This window comes from Homo sapiens, chromosome 9 (assembly GCF_000001405.40).
Source record: "Homo sapiens chromosome 9, GRCh38.p14 Primary Assembly".
NCBI classification, from domain to species: Eukaryota; Metazoa; Chordata; class Mammalia; order Primates; family Hominidae; genus Homo; species Homo sapiens.
The window spans coordinates 67,107,368-67,133,421 of record NC_000009.12 but is presented as its reverse complement, the minus strand read 5'-3'; the positions used below and the strand labels follow the sequence as shown (position 1 = coordinate 67,133,421).

General features: G+C 36.9%; 1 pseudogene across 1 annotated transcript in view; it reads right to left on the bottom strand.

Moving 5' to 3' along the window:
* Positions 1 to 26,054, bottom strand: part of CNTNAP3P2 (CNTNAP3 pseudogene 2) — a 237,697-nt pseudogene that overhangs the window by 163,735 nt on the left and 47,908 nt on the right. Inside the window, exon 3 of the transcript NR_111893.2 lies at positions 22,832 to 23,025. The product of NR_111893.2 is annotated as a CNTNAP3 pseudogene 2 (transcript). The remainder of the gene's footprint in view (positions 1 to 22,831; positions 23,026 to 26,054) is intronic.

Below are 26,054 nucleotides of genomic sequence, written 5' to 3'. Positions count from 1 at the left end.
GAGCACAATAAAATATTAAGCTTTACATCATTCTGCTTCCTTATTGTAGATTACCCATTGTTCAGTCTACTTTGGGATTTCTTCATTGTAGCTTGTTGCAGCACTTCTGTGCGTGTGTGTGTGTGTGTTTGCACACACTCATAAAATCTTAGCATGAGAAATAGTTACACCATGTGAATTTAAAAATGAGGAGAACTTAGATAGGAACTTGTTAGTCTGAACTGCAGCTGCCCCTGTGGAAAACTGGTGTTGCCCTCCCTTTAGTTTTGCTGCAGAAATGGGTGATTTTAAACCTGAAAGTCAAAGTATATTTATTAGCTTGATCATATGAAATTGCTGTTTTTGTAGGTCAAGATACTTAGATATCAGCACATTCACGAGGTTCAGCCTTATAGTGCGTGACTGGATTCCACATCCACCCTGCATTTTGTAATCGAAGGTGAGGAAGCTCACAGGTGTTGAGCACCTAGTACTTGGCCAGGTGTTTGTTAGGGGCTATTTTAGAAACAGCACTCAGTTAGTTACTCTTAGCCAGGTGCTGTCTGCACCACATCACGTGATGGTCAAGGACTGATGACCCAGGACATGAATAAGTATCATTCATTCAACATTAAACATGGGAAAAAAAGACTCATTAATTTTAAAAACACCACTAAAATAAATATTACAACTAGAATTTGAAGGCTATTTATTTCTATCGGGTTACATCCACTAATAAATGTTACAAAGTTAGGATGACTTTTAACTTGAGATACAGTTTTGTAGCCGCTGTTGTTGTTTTTTAATCTAATAAGCTCCTTCTGTGCTATACCAAATGACCTCCCTAGCTGGGACTCCTCCTGACATCCAGGCTGTTCCTTCGCATTTGAAAGCCCATGAAAGTCTTTCTTCTTACCAGTACACTGATGCCCACACATCCCAGCCACTGCCCTTCACTCTCACATCAAGATAAGGTCTTGATGTTCACTTTCAGGTTTTATATCAGTATACTGAGCTTTAGCGATTGGCTTTCATCCTGGAGAAATTTCAATGGGAAAAAGAACTGCATTAAAATCACTACTTATTATTTTTTTTACATTTATTTCAGTTTGTTTTTAATTGAAAAGCCATACGATTCACATAGTTCAAACCATATCTACATCCATTTTATATTTTTATCCCATTCCCATTACCCAGAGGGAAAAAATGCTATGATTTTTCTTATATGTCCTTCTAGAAATATTTCATATTTACATGAGTATATATATATATACATATATATATATATATATACATATATTCATTGTGGGAATTTCAAATGGGAGAATATCTTACCTTATTCTTTGATTTTAGAAAAATATCTTGAAGTTCATTCACAGCAAGTATGTTTACCTCATTATTTCTCAAGGCTGCATGCTATTCCAGAGTATAAATGTACCATGACCACTGCAAGAGAACTGTACTAACATATTTACCATTATATTCATAAAATGTTAGTTAATCTCTTCATGCACATATGCATATATTACACTATGACTGTGGGATAAATTCCTAGAAGTAGCATTGCTGCTTAACGTAAACTATACATTGAGAGAAACTGAAAGCATCACTCTTTTTGCATTACCTCCATTCACTACACTGCAAGTTGATCATTTTTTGGAACTTTAATTTTATAGATAGTGCCAAATGGTTCTTCAAGAAATCATATTCATAAAAAGGCACCAGTTCCTGAAATTGAATCATCTGAGTTTTACCTTTTCATGTGCACACATGAAACAGACCTAAAACATTCCCAGATGTGGTGAGGGGTTGTGAGTAAAGATTCTGCAGCCAGGCCACTTGGGTTCAAATTATTGTGCTACCACTAACTAGCTCTATAATTGGGGCAAATAAATAAAGCCTGTCTTTTTGCTTTCCTTGTTTTCATCTGGGAAGAATATTAGTATCTAGCTCATAGAGTTCTGCGAGGATTTTAATATATACAAAGCACAAAGAATCATGTTTGGTGCACAGTAAGCACTCAAGATACATAATGTCTTCATACTTAAATTTATTCTTAAAACTGATTATTTTTAACCTGAGCATTATGCTGAGCAATAATATCCATAATATTGCATGTTTGCATACTATTTAATTTTAAGAGACTTTAAATTTAATGCATTAACTATGAAAGTATAGTTGAAAGTAATGTCCTAAGCAACACAGCCTCAGTAAATGTTTTAGTTGTTCTAATAAACTGAGTAGTACCTCACTGCTGTTTTAATTTGCATTTCTTTAACTTATAAACAAGGTTGAATATTATCTCATGAATTTTATTATTATTATTACTATTATTATTATTTGAGACGGAGTCTTGCTCTGTCGCCCAGGCTGGAGTGCAGTGGCGCAATCTTGGCTCACTGCAAGCTCCACCTCCCGGGTTCACAGCATTCTCCTTCCTCAGCTTCCTGAGTAGCTGGGACTACAGGCGCCCGCCACCACACCTGGCTAATTTTTTGTATTTTTAGTAGAGATGGGGTTTCACCGGGTTAGCCAGGATGGTCTTGATCTCCTGACCTCGTGATCTGCCCACCTCGGCCTTCCAAAGTGCTGGGATTACGGGTGTGAGCCACCGCGCCAAGCATTATCTCATAAATTTATGAACTATTTTTTCTTCATGTGGAATGCTTATCAATCCTTCTCAATTTTACATTGCTTTTCTTAATCTTTATCCATTGATGTGTAAGAGCACTTTACAAAAAAACTGTGTCATGTATATTAAAATATTATTTCCCATTTATAAATTGATATCTTCTGGTAAGTTTCAAATAATTTCATTTATTAGTCTCTTTAATGTGGTCTTGGTTTTACATCTTGCATAGAAATACATGCCCGCTCCCACATTATATATGCAAACCTCTCCCAGAATCTTCTAGAACTGTTTCTGTGGCTACTTTAAAATCTTTAATTCATCTACAATCTACTTTGACGCAAGGAATAGGGTAATGGTCCAGTTTTATTAATTTTTTCCTGAGGGATACCTAGCTTCCCCAGTACCATTTATTAATTTTTTTCTTACTAATTTAAAATGCCACATCTTTTATCAGCATATATATTTGAATTTGTTAGTGAATACTATTTTTTCCACTGCTATTAATATCAAGCATACTAAAATCTAGAATCAACCTTTATTATGTACTTTTTTTTTTTTTTGAGACAGACTCTCACTCACTCTGTCACTCAGGCTGGAGTGCAGTGGCGCAATCTTGTCTCACTGCAACCTCCACCTCCAGGGTTCAAGAGATTCTCCTGCCTCAGCGTACCAAGTAGCTGGAATTACAGGAGCACGCCACCACACCCAGCTAATTTCTGTATTTTTAGTAGAGACAGGGTTTCACCACGTTAGCTAGGCTGCTCTCAAACTCCTGACCTCAGGTGATCTGCCCAACTCAGCCTCTCAAAGTGCTGGAATTACAGGCCTGAGCCACCGCGTCCAGCCTCTAGGTATTTTTCTAATTGGTAAGACTAACTCCTTTTTCAATTTCTTGTTGCCAGTTGTACTGCTTATCCTTTTATGAAAATTAATTTTTTTAAATTTGATGAATAAAATATGTATGCACTATGTACAACTTGATGTTTTGAAACATGCATACATAATTGAATGAGTACATCAAGCTAATTAAATATGCATTACCTCACATACTTATTTTTGTGGTGAGAAAACTAAAAATCTATTCTCAGCAATTTTCAAGAACACAGTACTTTGTTATTAACTATAGTCACCATTTTGTGCGATAGATTTCTTGAACTTATTCCTCCTACATAACTGAAATTTTGTATCCTTTGACCAACATCTCCCCAACTCCCAAACTCGCTAGTCCCTGGTAACAACTATTCCACCTTCTGCTTCTATGGGCTCAACATTTTTAGACTCCACATATAAGCTGGATCCTGTAGTATTGGTCTTTCTGTGCCTGACTTATTACACCGAACATAATGTCCTCCAGGTTCATCTATGTTCTCACAAATAAATAGGATTTCTTTTATTTTATGGCCAAATAGCATTCCATTGTGTATGTACACCACATTTTCTTTATCCATTCATCCACAGATGGACACTTCAGTTGATTCCAAATCTTGGCTATTATGAATAATACTGCAATGAACATGGTTGTACAGATATCTAAAAGACATACTGATTTAATTTCCTTTGGATACATACACAATAGTGGGATTGCTGAATCATTTGGTAATTCTATTTTTGATTTTTTGAGGAACCTCCCTACTGCTTTCCATAATGGATATACAAATTTACATTGCCACCAACAGTATACAGGGATCCTCTTTTCTTCACATCTTCATCGACACTTGTTATCTTTTGTCTTTTTGATAATAACCATTCTAACAAGTACGAGGTGATATCTCATTGTGGTTCTAACTTGCATTTCCCCGATGATTTGTGATATTGAGCATTTTTTCATATACCTGTTGGCCAGGCATATATCTTTCTTGAGAAATGTCTTTTCAGGTCTTTTGCCCATTTTTAAAAAGCACAGTTATTTGTTTTCTTGCTATTGAGATGTTTGAGTTGCCTATGTATTTTAAATATTAACCCCTTATCAGATGTATTGTTTGAAAATATTTCCTCCGATCCCATAGGTTGTCTTTTTACTCTGCTGATTGTTTCCTATGTGGTGCAGAAAATTAGTTTGAAATAACCTCATCTGTCTAATTTTGCTTTTATTGCCAATGCTTTTGGGGTTGTATCCAGAAAATGATTTCCTAGACCAATATCATGGAGCTTTTCCCCTGTGTTTTCTCTTAGTAGTTTCACAGTTATGGGTCATAAGTTTAACTCTTTAATCCATTTTGTGTTGATTTTTGCATATAGTGTGAGATAAGGGTCTAATTTCATTCTGTTGTGCATGTATATCCCACTTACCCAATACCATTTACTGAAGAAACTAAACTTTCTTCATTGTGTATTCTTAGCACCTCTGTCAAAAATCAACAGACAATAAATGCCTGGATTTAGTTCTGGGCTCTCTATTGTGTTCCATTGGTCTATGTATGTGTCTGTTTTTTATGTCAGTACCATGCTATTTTGATTGCTACAGCTTTGTAGTACATTTTGATGTCAGATAGTGTGATACCTCCAGCTTTGTTCTTTACGCTCAAGATTGCTTTGGTTATTGGAGGTCCTTTGTGGTTACACACAAATTTTAGGATCATTTTCTCTATTTATGTGGAAAATGTCATTAGAATTTTCATAGGTAATGCACTGAATCTGTAGATCACCTTAGGTATTATGAATATTTTAATATTAATTCTTCCAATCCATGAACATGGGGATATCTTTCGATTCCTGTCATCTTTAAGTTCTTTCATCAATATTTTATAGTCTACTATAAAATTCTGTAAACCTCAGTGTACAACTCTTTCACTACCTTGGTTAAATTTATTCGTAAGTATCTTATTGGATTATTTTCTTGATTTCTTTTTCAGACACTTCATTATTAGTATATAGACCACATAACTGATTTTTCTGTTGATGTTGTACTGTAACTTTATTGAATTTATTTATTAGTTATTTGGGGTTATTTTCTTTTGAGAGTCTTGTTCTGTCATCCAGGCTGGAGTGCAGTGGCACTATCACAGCTCACTGCCGCCTGAACCTCCTAGGCTCAAGTGATCCTCCCACCTCAGCCTCCTGAGTATCTGGGACCACAGGCACATGCCACCATGCCCAGCTCGTTGTTTATTTTTTTGTAGAAATGGGGGTCTTGCCATGTTGCCCAGGTCTCAAACCACTGGAGTCAAGTGATCTTCCTACTTTGGCCTCCCAAAGTGCTGAGATTACAAGCATAAGCCATCATGCCTGGCCTGAAATTTATGCATTAGTTCTAATAATTTTTTGTTGAAGTCTTTAGGGCTTTCTATATATAAGATCATGTCATCTGCAAAGAGGGACAATTTAAATTCTGTTTTCTTCAAATTTGGATTTTTTTTCTTTTTCTTGTCTAATTGCTCTGGATAGAACTTTCAGTACTGTGTTGAAAGAAGTGGTGATAGTGGGCATCCTTGTCTTGTTTGGATCTCAGAGGAAGAGTTTTCAACTTTTCACCACTGAATAAGATGTTAGCTGAGGGTTTGTCATATGTGACCCTTATTTTGTCGAGCTATATTGTCCTCTTTACAACCAATATGTTGAGAGATTTTAGAATAAAAGGTTGTTAGACATTTTGTCAAATGCTTCTGCTGTGTCCATTGAGATAATCATATGTTTTTTGTCCTTTGTTCTATTAACATGATACGTTACATTTATAGATTTGCCTATATTGGACCATCAATTCATCCCACAGATAAATCTCACTTGATTATCATGAATGATCTTTCTAATATGCTGTTGAATTTGGTTTGCTAAAATTTCATAGAGTTTTTGCATTTATGCTCATGAGGATATTGGCCTATAATTGTCTTTTTTTGTAGTGTACTTTCTGAGTTTGGTATCAGGGTAATGCTGGTTTTATAAAATGAGTTTGAAAGTATTCCCTTCTCTTCCATTTTTTGGCAGTGTTTGAGAATAATTAGTATTAGTTCTTTAAATGCCTGGTAAAATTCAGCAGTGAAGCCATCAGGGCCTAGGTCTTTATTTAATTAGAGCTTTTTACTACTGATTCAATTTTATTGTTCATTATTGGTTTGCTCAGATTTTCTTTTTTTATGGTTCAGTTTTGGCAGGTTGTATATGTCCAGAAATTTATCCACTTCTAGGTTGTCCAATTTGTTGAGGTATACTTATTCATAGTAGTCTGTTAAGATCCTTTGTATTTCTGTAATATTGGTTGTAATGTTGCCTCTTTCATTTCTGATTTTGAGACTTTTTTCTTAAAGATTTGTCTATTTTGTTTATATGTTATATTTTTATATATATTTATATATTTTTTAAAACCTGACTTTTATGGATTTTTTTTATTGTTTTTCTAGTCTGTATTTTATTTGTTTCTGCTCTGATCTTTATTATTTCTTTCCTTCTTTAACTTTGAGCTTAGTTTGTTCTTGTTATTCTAGTTCCTTGGGGTGTAATCTTTGGTTGTTTATTTGATATCATTCTTCCTTGCTGATGTAGGCCATTATTGCTATAAACTTAGAATTGCTTTTGCTGTATCCCATGTGTCTTGATATGGCATGGGTCAATTTTTGTTTGTCTAAAGACATTTTAAAATTTCCCTTTAAATTTCTTCTTTGACCCACTGGTTGTTCAGGAGCATGTTGTTTCATTTCCATGTATTTCTGAATTTTCTTTTTCTTTTTTTTTTTTTTTTTGAGACAGTCTCACTCTGTCACCAGGCTGCAGTGCAGTGGCACGAGCTTGGCTCACTGCAATCTCTACCTCCTGGGCTCAAGCAATTCCCCTACCTCAGCCTCCCGAGTAGCTGGGACAGCAGGCGTGCACCATGCCCAGCTAATTTTTGTATTTTAGAAGAGATGGGGTTTCATCATGTTGTCCAGAATGGTCTCGATCTCCTGATCTTGTGATCTGCCCACCTTGGCCTCCCAAAGTGCTGGGATTACAGGCGTGAGCCACCACACCCAGCCAAATTTTCTGAAAATTCCTTCAGTTACTGATTTCTAGAATCATACCATTGTGGTCAGAAAGTATAACTGATACGATTTCAATCTCCTTAAATTTATTAAGACTTGTTTTGTGGCCTAACATATCATCTATCCTGGAGAATGTTCTCTGTGTGTTTTTGAAAAAGGTGTCTTCTGCTGCTGTTGGATGCAATGTTCAGTTTATGTCTGGTAGGTCCATTTGGTCTAACATATAGTTTAAGTCTAATTTTTCCTTACTGATTTTCTGTCTGGATGAGCTGTCTATTGCTGAAAATAGGATATAGAATTTCCCTCCTATTAAGTCCCCCCCTCCCTTCAGATCTGTTAGTATTTGCCTTATATATTCAGATATTCCATCATTTGGTGCACACATATTTACAACTGTTACATTCTCTTGGTTAACTGACCCCTTTATCCTTCTTTTTTTTTTTTGAGACGGAGTCTTGCTCTGTGGCCCAGGCTGGAGTGCAGTGGTGCAATCTCAGCTCACTGCAACCTCCACCTCCTGGGTTCAAGTGATTCTCTTGACTCAGCCTCCTGAGTAGCTGGGATTACAGGGGCGTGCCACCATGCCCAACTAATTTTTTTGTATTTTTTTAGTAGAGATGGGGTTTCACCATGTTGGTCAGGCTGGTCTTGAACTCCTGACCTCATGATCCACCCACCTCGGCCTCTCAAAGTGCTGGGATTACAGGTGTGAGCCACTGCGCCCAGCCCCCTTTAGCATTACATACTGACTTTGTCCCTTGTGGCAGTTCTGGACTTAAAATCTATTTTATCTGGTATAAGTACAGCTACTTCTGCTTTTTATTGGTTTCCTTTGCATAGAGTATCTTTTTTCCATCCCTTTGCTTTCAGTCTATGTGTGTCCTTATAAGTGAAGCGAGCTCCCTGTGTGTAGCACAGAGCTGGGTCTGGTTTTTATAATCCATTAAGTCACACTATGTCTTCTGATTGAATAGTTTAATTTATTTACATTTAAGGTAATTGTTGCCAGGTAAGACTGACTACAGTCATTTAGTTCATTCTTTTCTGGCTTTGTTTCCTGACTACAGCCATTTAGTTCATTCTTTCTAGCTTTGTTTTCCTTTGTTCCTTCCTTCTCTTTCCGTCTTCCTTTGTGATTAGGCAATTTTCTATAGTGGCATGGTTTGATTCCTTACTTTGTATCTTCTGTATATCTAGTACAGGTTTTTGCTTTGTGGTTACCAGGAGGCTGACATAAAATATCTTATAGTTGCAGCAAGTTTTTTTAACTTGAATACAACTTAACCGTGATCACACACAAAAATTCAACATTTTTACCCACCCACACTTTATGTTTTTGATGCTTTTTATATTGTGTAACCCTTAATGAATTATTGCAGCTTTAACTATTTTTAATAGTTTGTTTTAACCACTGTAATAAATGTTACTTAAACACTACCACCACAGTTTTAAAATTTGACTTACTTTTGTACTTACTTTTGACTTAAACTTTTTGTACTTACTTTTACTAGTGAGTTTCAAACTTTCTTATGTTTCTGTGTTACTAATTAACATCCTTTTCTTTCAGCCCAAAGAACTTCCTTTAGCATTTCTTGTAAGACACTTCTGAGAGTAATGAACTCTTGACTTTGTGTGTGTGTGTCTCTGCAAAAGTCCTTTTCTCTTTTCCTTCTGTAGAAGAGCTTTGCTGTGTATTCTTGGTTGACAGTTTTTGTTATGTTTTGTTTTTTTCCTTTCAGCACTTGAATATATCATCCCGCTCTTCCCTGGCCTGTAAGGTTTCTGCTGTGATGTCTGCTTCTAGTATTAATGGAATTCCCTTATATGTGACATGCTTCTTTTGTCTTGATGCTCTTTTGCTGCAGAATACTCTTTTTGTCCTTGAATTTTCAAAGTTTGATAATAATATGTCTTGGTGTAGTCTTGCTTGGATTGAATCTGATTAGAGACCTTTGACCTTCCTGTGTATGAAAATGTAAATTTTCCCCCAGATTGATAAAACTTTTTCTGCCTGCCTTCCTGCCTGCCTTTTTTCCTTCCTTCCTGTCTTCCTTTCTTCTTTGCTCCCTCCCTCCTTCCTTGTTTCTGCTACTGTTTCCTCTCTCTCTCTATCTCTTTCTTTACAATAAAAACTTGATCTATTAGCCAGGCTGGAGTGCAATAGCATGATCATGGCTCACTGCAACCTCAAACTCCTGGGCTCAAGCGACTCTCCCACCTCGGCCTCCCAAAGCACTGACATTATAGGTATGAGCCATGACACCCAGCCTATTGTTTCTTTACTAAACTTTCTAGACCTTTGTCCCTCTATTCTCCTTTTTCAGTGTCCATACTTTTAAGTTTTGTTCTTTTGATGCTTTCCTGTAAGTTCCATAAGCATTCTTCATTACTTTATATTCTTTTTTCTCCAATTGTATAATTTCACTAAACTGTCTTTGAGTTCAGAGCCTTTCTTCTGCTTCATTGATTCTGCTGTTGACATTCTCTATTGCAATTTTCATTTAATTCATGCATTTCTCAGCTCCAGAATTTGTTAGTTTTTTGTATAATTTCAATCTTTAATTTTCTCATTTTATTCATTTAATGACTTACTAATTTTTGAATTTTTCCTTTTTTAGATAAACAGAAATTTATTTGTAACAGTTCTGGAGACTGAGATGCTCAAGATCAAGGTGGTGGCATCTGTGAAGGCCTTCTTGCTGTGTCATAACAAGGCAGAAGGCATCACATGGGTGAGAGAGAGACAAAAGTAGGGTCCTTTTATAAGAAACCCACTCCCTCATAACATAAATTTTGAGGGACACATTCAAACCAGAGCAGTCCCAGTTCCGGATCTCTAGTTTTTTCCAACATTTATTTTAGATTCAGGAGGTACATATGCAGGTTTGTTACCTTGGTATATTGTGTAATGCTGAGGTTGGGGTATGAATGATCCCTTCACCCAGGTACTAACTAAACAGTTAGTTTTTCAACCACTGTCCCACTCCCTCCTTTTCCCTTCCAGTAGTCTCTAGTGTCTATTGTTGCCATCCTTATATCCATGAGTTATCAATGTTTGGCTTCTACTTACAAGTGCAAACATGCAGTATTTGATTTTCTGTTCCTGTGTTAATTCACTTGGGATAATGGCCCCCAACTGCATCATGGTGCTACAAAGGACATGATTTCATTATTTTTTATGGCTGCATAGTATTCCATGGTGTATATATATACACCATATTTTCTTTATTCAATCCACTACTGATAAGCACCAAGGTTGATTCCATGTCTTTGCTATTGTGAATACTGCCATGATGAACACACAAGTGTATGTGTCTTTTTGGTAGAATGATTAGATTTCTTTTGGATATCTACCCAGTAATGGGATTGCTAGGTTGAATGGTAGTTCTCTTTTAAGTTCTTTGAGAAATCTCCAAATTTTTTTCCACAGTTGCTGAACTAATTTACATTCCCACCAACAGTATGTAAGTGTTCCCTTTTCTCCACAGCCTCACCAGCATTTGTTGTTTTTTGACTTTTTAGTAATAGCCATTCTGACTGGTATGAGATGGTATCTTATTGTGGGTTTAATTTGCACTGATCTGATGATAAGTGATGTGGAACACTTTCTCATATGTTTATTGGCCATGTTTACGCCTTCTTTTGAGAAATGTTTGTTCATATATTTTGTACATTTTTAAGTGGGGTTGTTTGCTTTTTGCTTGCCTAATTGCTTAAGTTCCTCATAAATTTTGAATATTAAACCTTTGTTGGATGCATAGTTTGCAAATATTTTCTCCCTTTCTGTACGTTGTCTGTTTACTTTGTTGATAGTTTCTTTTGCTGTGCAGAAGCTCTTTAGTCTAGCCGGATCCCACTTGTCAATTTTTGTTTTTGCTGCAATTGCTTTTAGGACTTATAAATCCTTTCCCAAGGCCAATGTCCAGAACGGTGTTCCATAGGTTTTCTTCTAGGATTCTTACAGTTTGAGGTCTTACATTTAAATATTTGATCCACCTTGAGTTCAGTTTCATATATGGTAAAATGTAGGGTTCTAGCTTCATTCTTCTGCATATGGCTCACCAGTGATCTTAACACTATTTATTGAATAGATAGTCCTTTCCCCATTGCTTATGTTTGTTGACTTTGTCAAAGATTAGATGGCTGTAGGTATGCAGCTTTATTCCTGGGTTCTCTATTCTGTTCCATTGTTCTATGTGTCTGTTTTAATACCAGTACCAGACTGTTGAGGTTACTGTAACCTTTTAGTTTGAAGTTGGGTAATGTGATACCTCTGGCTTTGTTCTTTTTGCTTTGGATTGCTTTGGCTATTTTGAATTATTTTTCTATTTTCTTTTAAGTTCACTTAGCTCTTTCGGTGGTATTTTCAGATGTCAACAGTGGTTCAAATAGATGATTCTGCAGACGAATGTCCTATTTCACCATCTTGCTGGCATCTGTACACTTGCCTTGTTTATTCTTGAATGAACATTCTTCAAAGTAAAATTTTGAATTACATCATTTTATTCTGGGTTAAATTAGAGAGGATTAACATCTTTACATTACTGAGTCTTCATATCCATAAATGAGAATTTACACAGATCTCCTTATATACCTCATAGTAAAGTTTTAACCTTTCTTTTCCCATGTAGCTTGTACATTTCTTACCCCTCTCCTGCCTGCCAGTGGTATTTTATGCCTTCTAAATCTATTATAAACAGTATTTGCTTCTTTTCATTTTAACTGATAACTTATACAAAGGGAGGTATTTCTGATTATTAAATTAATTTCCAAAAAAAAGTATTAAAAAATGTGAGCTGTTGAATCTTTTTTTTTTTTTTTTTTTTTGAGACAGAGTTTCACTCTTGTTACCCAGGCTAGAGAGCAGTGGCATGATCTCGGCTCACCACAACCTCTGCCTCCCGGGTTCAAGTGATTCTCCTGACTCAGCCTTCCGAGTAGCTGGGATTACAGGCGCCTGCCACCACATCTGGCTAATTTTTTTGTATTTTTAGTGGAGATGGGGTTTCAGCATGTTGGCCAGGCTGGTCTCAAACTCCTGACATCAGGTGATCAACCTCCCAAAGTGCTGGGATTACAGGCATGAGCCACCACGCTGGCCCAGGTGATTTTCTTATGTGTGTTTTCAAGGATCAAATAATAATAATTTTTACTTGGTTCCTATTTTTTATGCCTCTTGTTTAGTCTCTTCTCTAATTGAAATACTCTTTGTATCATAGGAAAATAAGGATAGACCCTAGTGAGAAGGGCCTAAAATTCTTTTTCAGGGTTACAGGAATGAAGGAATAAATAAATCTTTATTGCCACAAAATAAAGGAAACTCCAAACTCAGCCTCTCTGAGACCAAATTATAAAAAAAAGTCATACATAGAATTTGAGAATATCATAGCACCATTAAGAGGGAAAGAGGAAAGGAGATTATGTGGTTTTGCATTGATAATATACTGTGATGTATAAGTATTAAAACATTTTTGTATCTCTGAATAGAAACTTTAGTCAGGCCTCTCTCCTTGAACTCCTAAGATGGAGCCAAACAAAATTTTCTATTTGCTTTCCCTACTATTTTTATTTTTCCTTCTAGAAACTCATCAATTTGAATATAGTCAATATGAGTCATTTTATAAGCATCCTTATATATAAATTTAAATTTTATAGTGTTTGATACATATTCATGTTCTATTACATGTATCCATATAGATACAATCTTGTTTATGAAAATTGACGTAGTATGCTATAAGTGAACAAAACTATATGAAAGAATAACAGACAATACTGCTTGATAGAAAAAGTTTTAAATAATAGAAAAGTGCTGCAACAGAGATAAGAAGAAAAAATATAACAACAAAGGTCTTATGGGAGCTTATTATCTGCCAAGCGCAGAGTTAAGCTCATTAAGTGGATAATCTTATTTTTCCTCCCACAATTATGCTCATTTTATAAATGAGAAAGCTAGAACTTTGAGGAGTTAAATCACCCAACTTTATACATAGTTTATAACTGATTCTTGTTCTCAAAGGCAACTCTGTGTGACTGTGAAGCCCCAGCACAGGCTCCCATAAAAAAGGCATTTCCATTTACTGTAATATTTAAAAATCCACAAAAACTGATTTTTCAAAAGCCTACAGTTGAAAGAAAGTTGCTCAAATATTACCTAAAATAGAATAATCAGTTTAAAAAATTGATCGCAATGAAAGAGGAAAAAAAAGCAGCTCACAGGAATTTTCTACAGAGGCACACAAAGATACACTCTCTAAACAAGAAAACCATTATCTAGTGAATGTTCATCAGAAACTAGAATATTCACTTTTGTTTAAGTAAAACTTTCACTAATTATATAGAGGATTATACTTCCTATTGAGATAATTTATCACTATAGCCAAAGTTTCAATGTAGAAAAACACCCCTGCTCATCAGTGTCTGGGATAGAAGTAAAACAGAGGATACTGCTTGAAACAAAACTGCTTAGACCAGCACACTTCTCTGATTTGTCAATGTCACTGATTTAAAAATGAAAGTTAATACCTTTTAAGATATCTGTACAATTCTAGGGCAGCTGTTTCAGAAGGTCAAATAACTCACAGCCAATGGGGAACTAGAGAGATATCTGAGGATTTGGCTGGTAAACCAGACTTTCACTGACAGGGTCCCCTTTGGGGCTGTGGTAGAGGTTCTCTTAAAAGACAGAGCAGCTTAAAGAAATCACTGAGGATTTTCACTATTACAACAACAAAATGATACTGAAGTGCTATATTGATTTTAAATTTGACAAAACAACAGAATCCCTGACAAAACAGAACCATTACTGTGGAATAAATCAGTTAGATTCTGGATCAGCCCCATTATTCTTCATATCATCACAAGTGCTTTCTAAGATGTTGTCACCAGATTAGGGCACAAAGTGGGGAAGAGAGCTGGAAGGGCTTCTCCTTAAAGAGTATGGTTATTGTACTTCACTTCCATGCTTAATCATTTGATAACACTCACCCACAGTTGCTATTTTGGATACTCTATAAAATTCCCAGGCAGTTACCCATTTAATCTAACATAAATATGTGTTAAAATCTTTTCTGCTATTTCTCAAGGTCACGTGTTTGCCCATGGAACTTAGAGTACTGGCATCTCACTCAGTCACCGCAACAATGGCTTAAATCCTTCTTGACAGGTGGTACCTCTGTGTTCCTAGTGGCATCATACCACAGAAGGCTTCTCCCTCACACTAATGGGACTGAATCAATAACATCAGACTAAAAACATTAACCTTAGGAGTCTTATTATTCTGAAAAATATAATAAAACCTTCAGAATAAAGGTTTTATTATTAAAACTCAGACCCAATTAAAATTTTACAAATGAGAAAGCTAGAACTTTGATAAGTTAGATTACCCAACTTTACATAGTTTATAACTGATTCTTGTTCTCAAAGGCAACTCTGTGTGACTGTGAAGCCCCAGCACAGGCTCCCATAAAAAGGGCATTTCCATTTACTACAATATTTAAGAATCCACAAAAAAATGGTTTTTTTCAAAAGCCTACAGTTAAAAGCAAGTTGCTCAAATATTACCAAATATTACCAATATTACCAATAATCAGACCCAATTAAAATCAGAGAGAAAAAAAGTAACACAAGGCTGTGTAACTCATGCACTACTAATATAGCACATTGACTATTTAACTCATAGGATGCCTTTTAAAATAATTTTTATTGTGGTAAAATATATATCCCATAAAATCTACCATTTTAACCATTTTAAGTGTACAGTTCAGTGGCATTAAATATATTCACATTGTTGTTCAACCACCACCTGCATCCAGCCCCTGAACTCATTTCATCCTACAGCTGAAACTCAAATCTTCTGAATAATTTGTGAAGTTGGCAACACACCATGCTGACCCTTAATTTGTGAAGAAGGCCCACAAGTATTAGAAAGATCCATTTGTAGAGGTGTCACTTGATGTGACATTCCTTGCTAGCACAGATCCATCTCAAACAAACTTCTAAAGCTTGGGCTACTCTGCTCAACTCTAAATCCACATGAAGAAATGTCTCCTATTCAACTGGCACCACATCCTAGCAGGATTTTGTGTTCTTCTTTTTTCTCTACACTTTGCGTTTCAGATGGATTTTATATCTATACATCTTTATCTATATTATGTGTATACATATATACATATATTTTGCTTTGCAGGAGGATCATTTATGTGTGTGTATGTGTATGTGTGTGTGTATATAAATATATATATATAAAAAATTAGAATTAAGTGAGAATGTTTCATAAGGACAAATACACCACTAAGTCTCTCACTCCTTTGCTATTGTAGAAATGGAGTTAGGAAACAAGGTGAAAAAGAGCCCTTTCACAGCCAGAGACTGTTTCTTTACCTTCTTGGAAACTGTAACCCTTACAGGAATTGTGCAAGAATTAAATGTGGGAGTGCTGGAAACCCAGAGCACACAGCCTTATGCACAAAGAGCTCTTCATAAATGGTAGATGGCATTAGCTTCAAGTTTAGAAACAATGTTTTCTTTTTGCTTCCTAGCCAGGAAAAGCCCTTTTGCTTCAAGCGACTAAAGAATGTTCTCTAACTTCCTGAGTGTTGTTGTGTGTGTACTTGCCTCTGCTAATGTTTAGTTTGCCTTACAAGGACAATCTGCCTGACTTCGTGTTGGATAAAGGGAAGCTGTACACGAAGATGGAGAGATACAGAAGGAAACAAGCCATGATTTCAGTAACCCAGTGGCCATGACAGCCAGAGGCTGAATGAAGGCCGACCGAAACTAGATATCCGCTGACCACCTCTGGACCCACAGGTGCAGCTGTTTGGGCTGACACCACACCTGGCAGCAGGGCTGACGTGTCCTGCAGACCTGCTCTTCCTCTGACTCACTGTGTCGCTGCCCATCACTGGCTCACGGCTTGGTAGCTACCCAGCCACACCCTCAGCCTCTCTTTTCCCTACTGTCAACCAACTGTGTGTCTGGCATGTAACACACACTCAGACTGAGAATGTTTCTGTCTCTGTGCTAACTGCAGTGTCTGCCATCCTTTCCTGCTCTCTCATAGCAGGTACTGAGTCAGTCCAGACAGCTGCTGCCTCTGGGCTCAGTGCTGATCGGCAGATCTCCAACCTCTGACCTTCCTTCTGCCCCCTCCGTTAGTTCCACTCACATTTGCTCCAGTCAGGCCCAGAAAATAAAGATAACAATTAGGAACAAATACACACAGGCCATGGGAGATCTACTAATGCACTTTGTCCACTGCCCCAAAAACGTCCCATGACAGCTAGTGGACACTTTTTTAGATTTCCCAGTTAGAACGGTTCTACATTTTGGATCTCAAAAATTCTCAACACTGATAAAGACCAGTGAAACAAGAATTCAGTTATAGCAAATTGTATGCTCTTTGTCAGAAAGTTTTAAAAAACAAAGTCCAATAATATTATTCAGAGAACATTTTCTTTCTTTGCATAAAATCTTCCTAGTGAGAAGAGACAGACAGGAAAAAAACAAAATTCCATACATGGGAACAAGAAATAATGACTTCCATAAGGAAACACAAAACCAGGGAAGACACAGGCTGGAGGCGGGTGGGGTGGGGAGGGCAGTGGGAGCTGTGTACGTGCGTGTCTGCGTGTGTGTGTTCTATGCATATTAGGGGTTAGGTTATCTAGAAGAATTCTATCAGGAAGAGATAATTTACCCAAGAAATGAATTGAGGAAGCTATCTATGCTATAGGGGAAAATTTCAGAAATACTGAATAGCTAGTACAAAGGATGGATCTTGCTTGACATTTTTAAAGAGCAGCTAGAAGAACATAGCACAAAATATTTGAAGCCACAGATAAGCAGAGAATACGGTCGAAGTTGCTTATTTCTTTTTATCTAAATAAGGTCAGTTCTTTATTGAAAATGACTACATTCATATGGTGCATAAAAGATGTGGCAATTTACAGCAAGAATTAAAGAAAATAAAATTATATAGATTTAAATTGGAAGCCAGTTGCAAAGGCAGAAGCAAGATGGGATGTGAAGCTGTGGCAATGGTCCAGGTAAGAGATGGTGGGCAACTGGGCTGTCATGGTAATAACAGAGGTGAGGGAAAGCTGTCAGACTCCACATATACTCTGAAGCTGTGACTGACATGATCTGTCTAACGACTGAGTTGACAGGATATGCCTATGGATTGATCGTGGAGTGTGAAGGAATGGAAGTCATTGGTAACTCCACGCATATTGGCTCAAGCCAACAATTGGTAAATGCTGTGATATTTACTGAGAGGTGGAAACCCAGGGGTAATAGGTTTGGTGATGGGAAGGATATGGAGATAATAAACTTAGTTTTGGATGTGACTATTTGACATCCGAAAGGAAATGGAGTCTGGTGCTCAGAGGGGAACTTGAAACATATGTCAGGGATGGATAATAACCTGAATATATCTAATCCCAACCAGAAGAAAATTTCACAATGAATTAAAAAGTTCTATATTTCCTAGCAGATTTAATTCTTTATTCTTTCAGAAATAAGTGAAAAATAGACATGAGGGAAAATGGCTTGTCAGTGATTGCTAATCTGGGACTATGGTTAATAGAATGTTATGGTATAATCTCTCAGCATGATTCCAGGACATGGTTAGGTGGATTTCTAAATATCTTTTCTCTCTTTCTGATTCAGAACATTTGTTCTTATTAGGCCAGGTGGTTTTTTAAGGCCATTCCTATTACTACTACTACTATATATATATATACATACACACACACACATATGGTTCTCCCAGAAAATTATCTTTTATCTTCCCTCTTCTGTTGTTTATTCTTTTGACCTTGTTTGAGTAATGGCACCTTTTAAAATGATGTAGCAGATGAGGAGATTATTCACCTCAAGTGAGTCTGTGTCCTGAAACACATTTTGTTAACTGAAAGTATAATACATAATGAAGCTTGTTCTGTTACTCAGAAAATATTCATGTATTCCTGTTGTAAGTAACAGGGATTCTCTCTTTTGAACAGAGCTTTTACTACTCTGAAGATTCCATAAATCTGGGAGTTACATCTAGTTTTCTTGGGTATTTCTCAACACAAACTCAGTCTAGCCCTTGAAGCGTCAATGTGAAGCATGTAATTAGTAAGAATGTGGATTGATATATTAATCCATTCAGATAATCAAATGTCAGTGATTGATATGACAGCTATACAATCTCTTATCTAAAGCCTTGGTATCAGATTTGCTTTAGATTCAGATTCATTTCATATATTAGAAAGGTCATACTGTGTATACACCAAATATGAGTGACTAGGTGGTAATCACATATGTTACTATTTTTGCAATAAAACATACGAATATTCACATTAAGCAGAGTAATTAAAAAATGCAAATAGCCCCAAAGTCAGTACATTCAGATTTTGCTGCTAAATAAATTTGGGTCTGCTTAGGGTTCACCATTTTAATAATTTTGTTTTTAGAATTAAAAATTGCAGATAAGCAACTGTGGATCTTTAATAATAGAAAACATTAGCATAGGTAATGGGTAAAACCAGACCAAAAAAAACAAAGCCATAAAACGACAGAGGGAGAGCATACAAGAAATATATAAGACTGGAGAATGCATTTTTAATGTGTCCTTAACATAAAAGTAGAGGCAGCAGGATCCCTAGGAGAGAGCTGGAAATGCATTCTGTTCTCCTGGTACAGGAAGGTTAATACGATGACCCTGAGGGCAGGGGATGTAGCTGTGGTCAGGAAAAGATAATAATAATAAAGATAATAATGTGCTGGGAAAGATAGTAAGCCTATAAAAACATAATTTTCATTAATCAAGAGTGTTAATATTTTAGGTATCAAAAATAAATCTTAAGTTATTTTAATATCATCCATTCATATCTAAAATTAATGCCTTGGTAAAGGGCAGAAACTCTAATAAGAGATGTAATTTATTGTTAAGGCAGCAATGATAAGACTGGAGGACAGCCAATATCAGCCCATCTTTTTAAGAAAATAATAAATAGGATACAGTCAGTGAACTTTATTTCTACAGAAGTAGCTTTGATAGGAAAAATACTAGACACAAGGGACATGCCTAGTGAAGAATATGATAACTATGACTCAGCTCACATTTCCCAAGAGTATATTACTAACCTCTACCATAATTATTTGCTTATTTACTAAAAGAATGGATTAATGAATAAACAAATGGAGAATATGTCCCTGAGATGTTGATGTAGCAGTTCAAGAAATGCGAATCAAGATGGTTATCAGTGGCAGGGAAGGGGCGTGGGGGGCTGGGGAGGAGGTGGGGATAGTTATGGGCACAAAAAAATAGTAAGAATGAATAAGACCTAGTATTTGATAGCACAACAAGGTGACTATAGTCAATAATAATTTAATTGTACACTTTAAAATAACTAAAAGTGTATAATTGGATTGTCTGTAACACAAAGGATAAATACTTGGGATGGATATCCCATTTTATATGATGTGATTATTATGCACTGCATGCCTGTATCAAAGTATCTCATGAATCCCATAAATGTGTACACCTGCTATGCACCCACAAAAAGTAAAAGTTTTTTTTAAAAAAAGAAACTCAAATATCTACATAGGTATTTTATAATCCAAACTTGACAGCCTCTCTCTTTGCAATTTTACAACTTTCAGCAAATTCCCCATATTCTCTCCATCTCAGTCTGAACAGCCATTTCACATCTTACAGCTCACTGTTTTTTGTGTATCTCATCCATTATCCATGTTTTTGTTTGCATTACTTTTGCTTTCTGAAATATCCTCCTGAATTATTTTCCAACAACTCATGAGGTAACGCTTTCTCCAAGGCCTGTCATTCTCAAGTGTCTTCGGGTCTGTGTCTTATAACTGAACACTCACAAGAACCATCTCTGGTTTGTTTTGTGGGTTCTCTCTTCAGTAGCATTAACATTTTTTTCACCATGCAAATTCTGTATAGTTGGTCACAGAGTAGGAAATGAAGCTATTAAATGGTTATAATTTGCCAGTCACAGTGATGGAGGATGAAGGAGATGCAAAGATAAAGCCCTATCCCCAAAAACCTTTTAGCTCAAAACGATGGAAGGCTGAGTCCTGAACCCTCATAGCACTACATTTCATTGCTTTAGTCCAAAACAAGTCCAAGAGATGTGCAGAGCCAGGAAGGATCATTTTCAGTGTGGTTGTTCAAAAAAGGCATCCTGGGAGAGGATGAATTTCCCTCATTCATTCAGGAAACATTTCCTGATGTCCTAGTCCTGTTAGGCACAGTTAGGCTTTAGAGGCTGAGTTAGTTTTCCAGAACTGCTGTAACAAAGTGCCACAAACTAGGTAGCTAAAGTGATGGAGGCCATACGTCCAAGATCAAGGTGTCTGCCAGCCGTGCTGCCTCCGGAGGCTCTAGGGAGGGATCTGTTCTATGCCCATCTCCTAGCTGCTGGTGCCTCCGGTGTTCTGTGGCTTGTCCATGCATTATTCCAATCCTCCCTCCTCACAGGGCTGCTTCCCTATGTGTCCTTGCACTGTGTTCCCTGTGTGTACATCTGTCTCTGGGTCCAAAGGTCCTTCTTGATGAGGACACCAGTCATATTAGATTAGGGTCAACCCTCCTGACTACATTTTAACTTGATTACCTCTGTAAAAAACTTATATCCAATTAAGGTCACATTCTGAGGTACTGGGAGTTAGGATTCCAACATATGTCTTTGGGAAACCACAAGTCAATCCAGGATAGAGATGCAGGGATGAAAGGCAGGCACAGTGACTTTGAAAGGAAGCTCACACTGTGAGGGGGCACCAGGAAAGTAAATCACTTGTTCCAGTGAAGCTCAACACGCTCCTACACAAGGTAAGATCATGAGAGTTGACATCTGTCATTTTAAGTGTTCTGGATTAGTAAGAACCTTAACCTTTACGCTCTTTCCCCACAGGCTAGTAACCTTTCAGAGTAAGCAAAATTGGCAAATGGCATTGCCTTGGCTATGGTTTCCCTCTGAACTGCTTAACTTGGTAACAAAAATGCTGACGGTACCTCTGTCATTGACGTATTTTTTTTTAGGAGGAAGAAAGAGCCAAATTACAAATACGATGCAGACTCTATATGAGTCTTCTCTTACAGCATCTCTTTTATAGGGAAACTGTCCACAACATTTTAAACATTATTAATCAATGCAGAGCAAGATTTTAAACAGATACAGGTTACTTTCAAACACTATGTAATAAATACTTATTATTATTATTATTATTATTATTATTATTATTATTATTATTATTATTATTGAGACAGAGTTTCTCTCTTTTTTGCCCAGGCTGGAGTGCAATGGTGCGATCTCTGTTCACTGCAATCTCTGCCTCCCGGGTTCAAGTGATTCTCCTACCTCAGCCTCCCAAGTAGCTGCAAAAGTCAAACAAAAAGTGATTACCCCGGCAAAGAGGCACTGACATATAATCAGAAACAGAAATAATGTCACTGTTATGAGGATATTTACAGATTCAGAGAATGTCACAGAGATCTGTAGTCTATGAAAAACTAAATCTGGCCAGGCGCGGTGGCTCACTCCTGTAATCCCAGCACTTTGGGAGGTCAAGATGGGTGGATGACCTGAGGTGAGGAGTTCGAGACCAGCCTGGCCAAAATGGCGAAACCCTGTCTCTACTAAAAATACAAAAAAAAAAAAAAATTAGCCAAGTGTGGTGGCACATGCCTGTAGTCCCAGCTACTAAGGAGGCTGATGCAGAAGAATTGCTTGAACCTGGGTGGCAGAGGCTGCAGTGAGCCAAGATTGTGCTACTGCACTCTAGTCTGGGTGATAACAGCGAAACTCTGTCTCTAAAAAAAAAAAAAAAAAAAAAACAAGAAAAACTAAATCTGGCTGCTTAATAAAGGACACACAATTCTTCAAGTTCAAAGTCTGTGTTCCTGTACTTGTCATACACACAGAAACTGCTCATTTATTACATTTTGAAATTTCAGTGTCTTTCAAAAATATCAGATCAAATCAGAGAAAATAAATGAATTCAATCTACCACTCTAAAATACTGCAGAGGCAATGTTAAATTACTTTATTAAGCAAACCAAGAAAAAATAAATTATATATGATTTGTATTATTTTTTAACTTCCACACTATTTAATGGTATAAGATTCTCTTTCAATGCTTTCAATGAAATAGGTATCTTACTTTCACTTAGAACATTTTTTTCAAAGTAATTCTTAAAATTCTGTTTTTCTAATAGGTTTGCAGCAATAGGTAGCAATTATTATTATTAGAAACATACCCAGATGCTTTCTTCTCGGCGATACTGCTTCCAGTTTCTCCCACCATCACTGAACATCAGGAGGTAGCTGGTCACCCAGTCAGAGCTCCCATATCCTCCTTGGGTGGCGACAGCAGTGACCTCCATTCTCTCTCCAAGGTCAATTTGCAGCCATTGGTATTTATTTGACACAAGTGGGGTCCAGCCACCAGCTCCTTTTTTGAAATAGAAAAAGTATAAAAATGGTAGAGGAGGAAGTTATTTAACATAGCTGTTACTAGATTAGAAAACTATAAAATTATGAATATATATTAAGAAAATCATCGATTTACAATAGAAAAAATAGAATAATTACATGTGACTGGATGAACCCTAAATTGTGTTCACATTTAGCTAGATGACCCCTGATATTCTAGAAGGCAGGTGTCCCACTGACTGCAGAAAATGTTTGTTTAATGCAGGTGGCCACTAGAGCATTCCTGTCAACTTTTGGAACTAGTGTTATTTCATAGCCCTTGTGCAAGATTTGCCCTTTGCCAACATAAGAGACTAAATTCCAGTAGTAGGAAGTACAGCATTAAGCACTGATAAAACAAAGACGGTTAATATATTGACCTTGCACTCAAAGTGCTTACAGTCTCATAGGAGAAATGGATGTAAAAGAAGAGTTAAAACATAGAGTGCTTTGTGAGGCAATCCCACTTACATGTGGAATTCTAAAAAGTTGATTTCACAAAAGTACAGAGGAGAGTGATGGTTAAGAGGAACTGGGGTGTGGAGGAGATATTGGTAAAAAAATACAAAAAGGTATGGAGTAGCAAATGGTCAAGGTGAGTCCTAAGCAGGTTCTGGTGCACTCTGCTCTCTCTGGCAGTACTGCAGGGAAACTGGGGCAAGCCTCACACAGCGCTCATCCACCTTGGACAAGGAAAAGGAGACTGTTGGGTATTGAAGAAGATGCATGCAGAGCAGAAAATTTGCTCTTTTTGCTCTGACCAATGCCACATCTGAAACAAAAACATAGGCATGTCCGCTGATGTTTTATTGATGTTTGTTATTTTTCTAGTCTAATAGAATTAGGGGACACTCGAAAACCACAGCTTCTTTAATAATCAATGTCTAGAAAAAGAGAGTGCTCTATAAACTATTCCCAAGCTGAGGAGTCAGAACACTTTTATTATTCCCTGGTGCTGCCACTTACCTGAAGGCTCTGACAGAAATTCTGAAGTTCTAGACAGTTCATTATTATTCATTGACTTATACTGTGTATTTTATTATTAGGAGTTTATCATTATGTCCTCATTTGTAAAGTCTTTAGTACTTCACTACATGTCCAAAAAAGTTTGATATTATTAGAATATAGCTAGGTGTAAAAACGAATAAGTGAGGACATTATACTTTAATATAAGTTATTATGGGGAAGTGTTGAGAAATATAAATATTAGGCACCTATTTGAATTGATGACCACACTTAACTACTGTTTCCTTATGATTCCCAAGTTTACAGATTCTTAGAAGTCAGATTCTAAGATATTTTTGTAGTGAATCTTTGTTCAAAAATATTTTTTCCTCTGAATGTATGATAAGCACCTCTAAAGTTTATATTATATATATAGTATGTACACAGACATATATATAGATATAATTTTTGTTTGTTTTGCTTTTTATTGTTCTATGTTCTGAATTGAAGAGTCAGGAATTTGATCTAGTAGACAAGATGGAAAATTACTGATAACCAACACTGTGCATCTGATTGACACTAAAATACTCCATATATTTTCTTAATCCAGACAGCTAGGAGGTGGACACAGCTCTTGTTCAAAGTTAAATGTTCTGCTATAGACCAGGGGCATCCTCCACTCATGCAACATGGTTTCCTAGATCGGGCAAGATTTATTCTTGGATGATTTACAGCAATATTTATGTGAGCCCCTGCCAGAGACAGTGCCCAGATTTCTTTAGCCCTCAGTAGGAACTACTTCCACAGTTTCTTCTCTCTGCTCATTCCTCCTTCCAACTTAACTTTTCAGGATGTAACAGAATTCCACGTACCCACTTCCATAATCATTCAATTTAACAATGAACACTTATCGAGCATTTGAGAACTCTAGGTCAGGCAAAGAGTTCCCTTTAAGTAAATTTTGCATTTAATTCCTAACATACCTTTAAAAGACAAGGCCTCATTACTACCCTCCATATGGATGGTGGGCAGCTCACCTATGTTTACGCATCTAGCAAGGGGCCCACAAGCTTTGGATCCAGAACCTGTGCAATTAAATATTTTTATTATATTATTTTGATGATAATCATGGGATGTGGTGTTTCTCAAATAAATGTAACAAAGATGTAAAGACATTTGGGAGTGAGCAGGTCTGGCTACCTAAGGCAGCAGCCCCCATGCAGCAGGGCAACCTCTCCTACTCCTGGTCAGGCAAGGTCTGGGTTTTGGAAAGCTGAGGGTGCAGTGCCAATGGGGTTTTCTCTACTGGCCCTTCCTGTTGACTCCACCAGATCTACTCTTCTCTCCTAAGCCTATGTAAACTTTAATTGGTGGGAGATCCTTTTGGGGTTGGTCTAACTAGCAACCAATGGTCCTAGGTACAACACTACTGAAACTGTGTATCCTTTTCTGTTTTTCTTATTACTATTTTAAGGGGTTTTGTTTTGTTTTGTTTTGTTTTTGTTTTTTTTTGAGATGGAGTCTCACTCTGTCACCAGCCTGGAGTGCAGTGGCGAGATCTCTGCTCACTGCAACCTCCAACTCCCTGGTTCAAGCAATTCTCCTGCCTCAGCCACCCAAGTAGCCGGGATTACAGGTACATGCCACCACACCCAGCTAATTTTTGTATTTTTAGTAGAGACGGGGTTTCACCACGTTGGCCAGGATGGTCTTGGTCTCCTGACCTAGTGATTTGCCCACCTCAGCCTCCCAAAGTGCTGGGATTACAGGCATGAGCCACTGGGCCCAGCCTATTTTATGGTTGTTTTAAAAGAGTTGGGAGAAGGTGAAGGAGATGCTAACAGCCAACCCATCATCTTAGGCTGGATGTTGTACATTGGGAATTTTATACACAGAGCTGAAACTTCTGAGGAACTATTCAATATTTTTGGTTCTTCCCCTCATCTTGGTTAGTCAGCATGAAGGGCATCCTCTTCAGCTTGTATTTCATAACCTTTCTTTGGTGTTTTCACTCCCTCTCATTCCAGGTTTAGAAAAGTAATTACTATGAGAACACATGTGGAG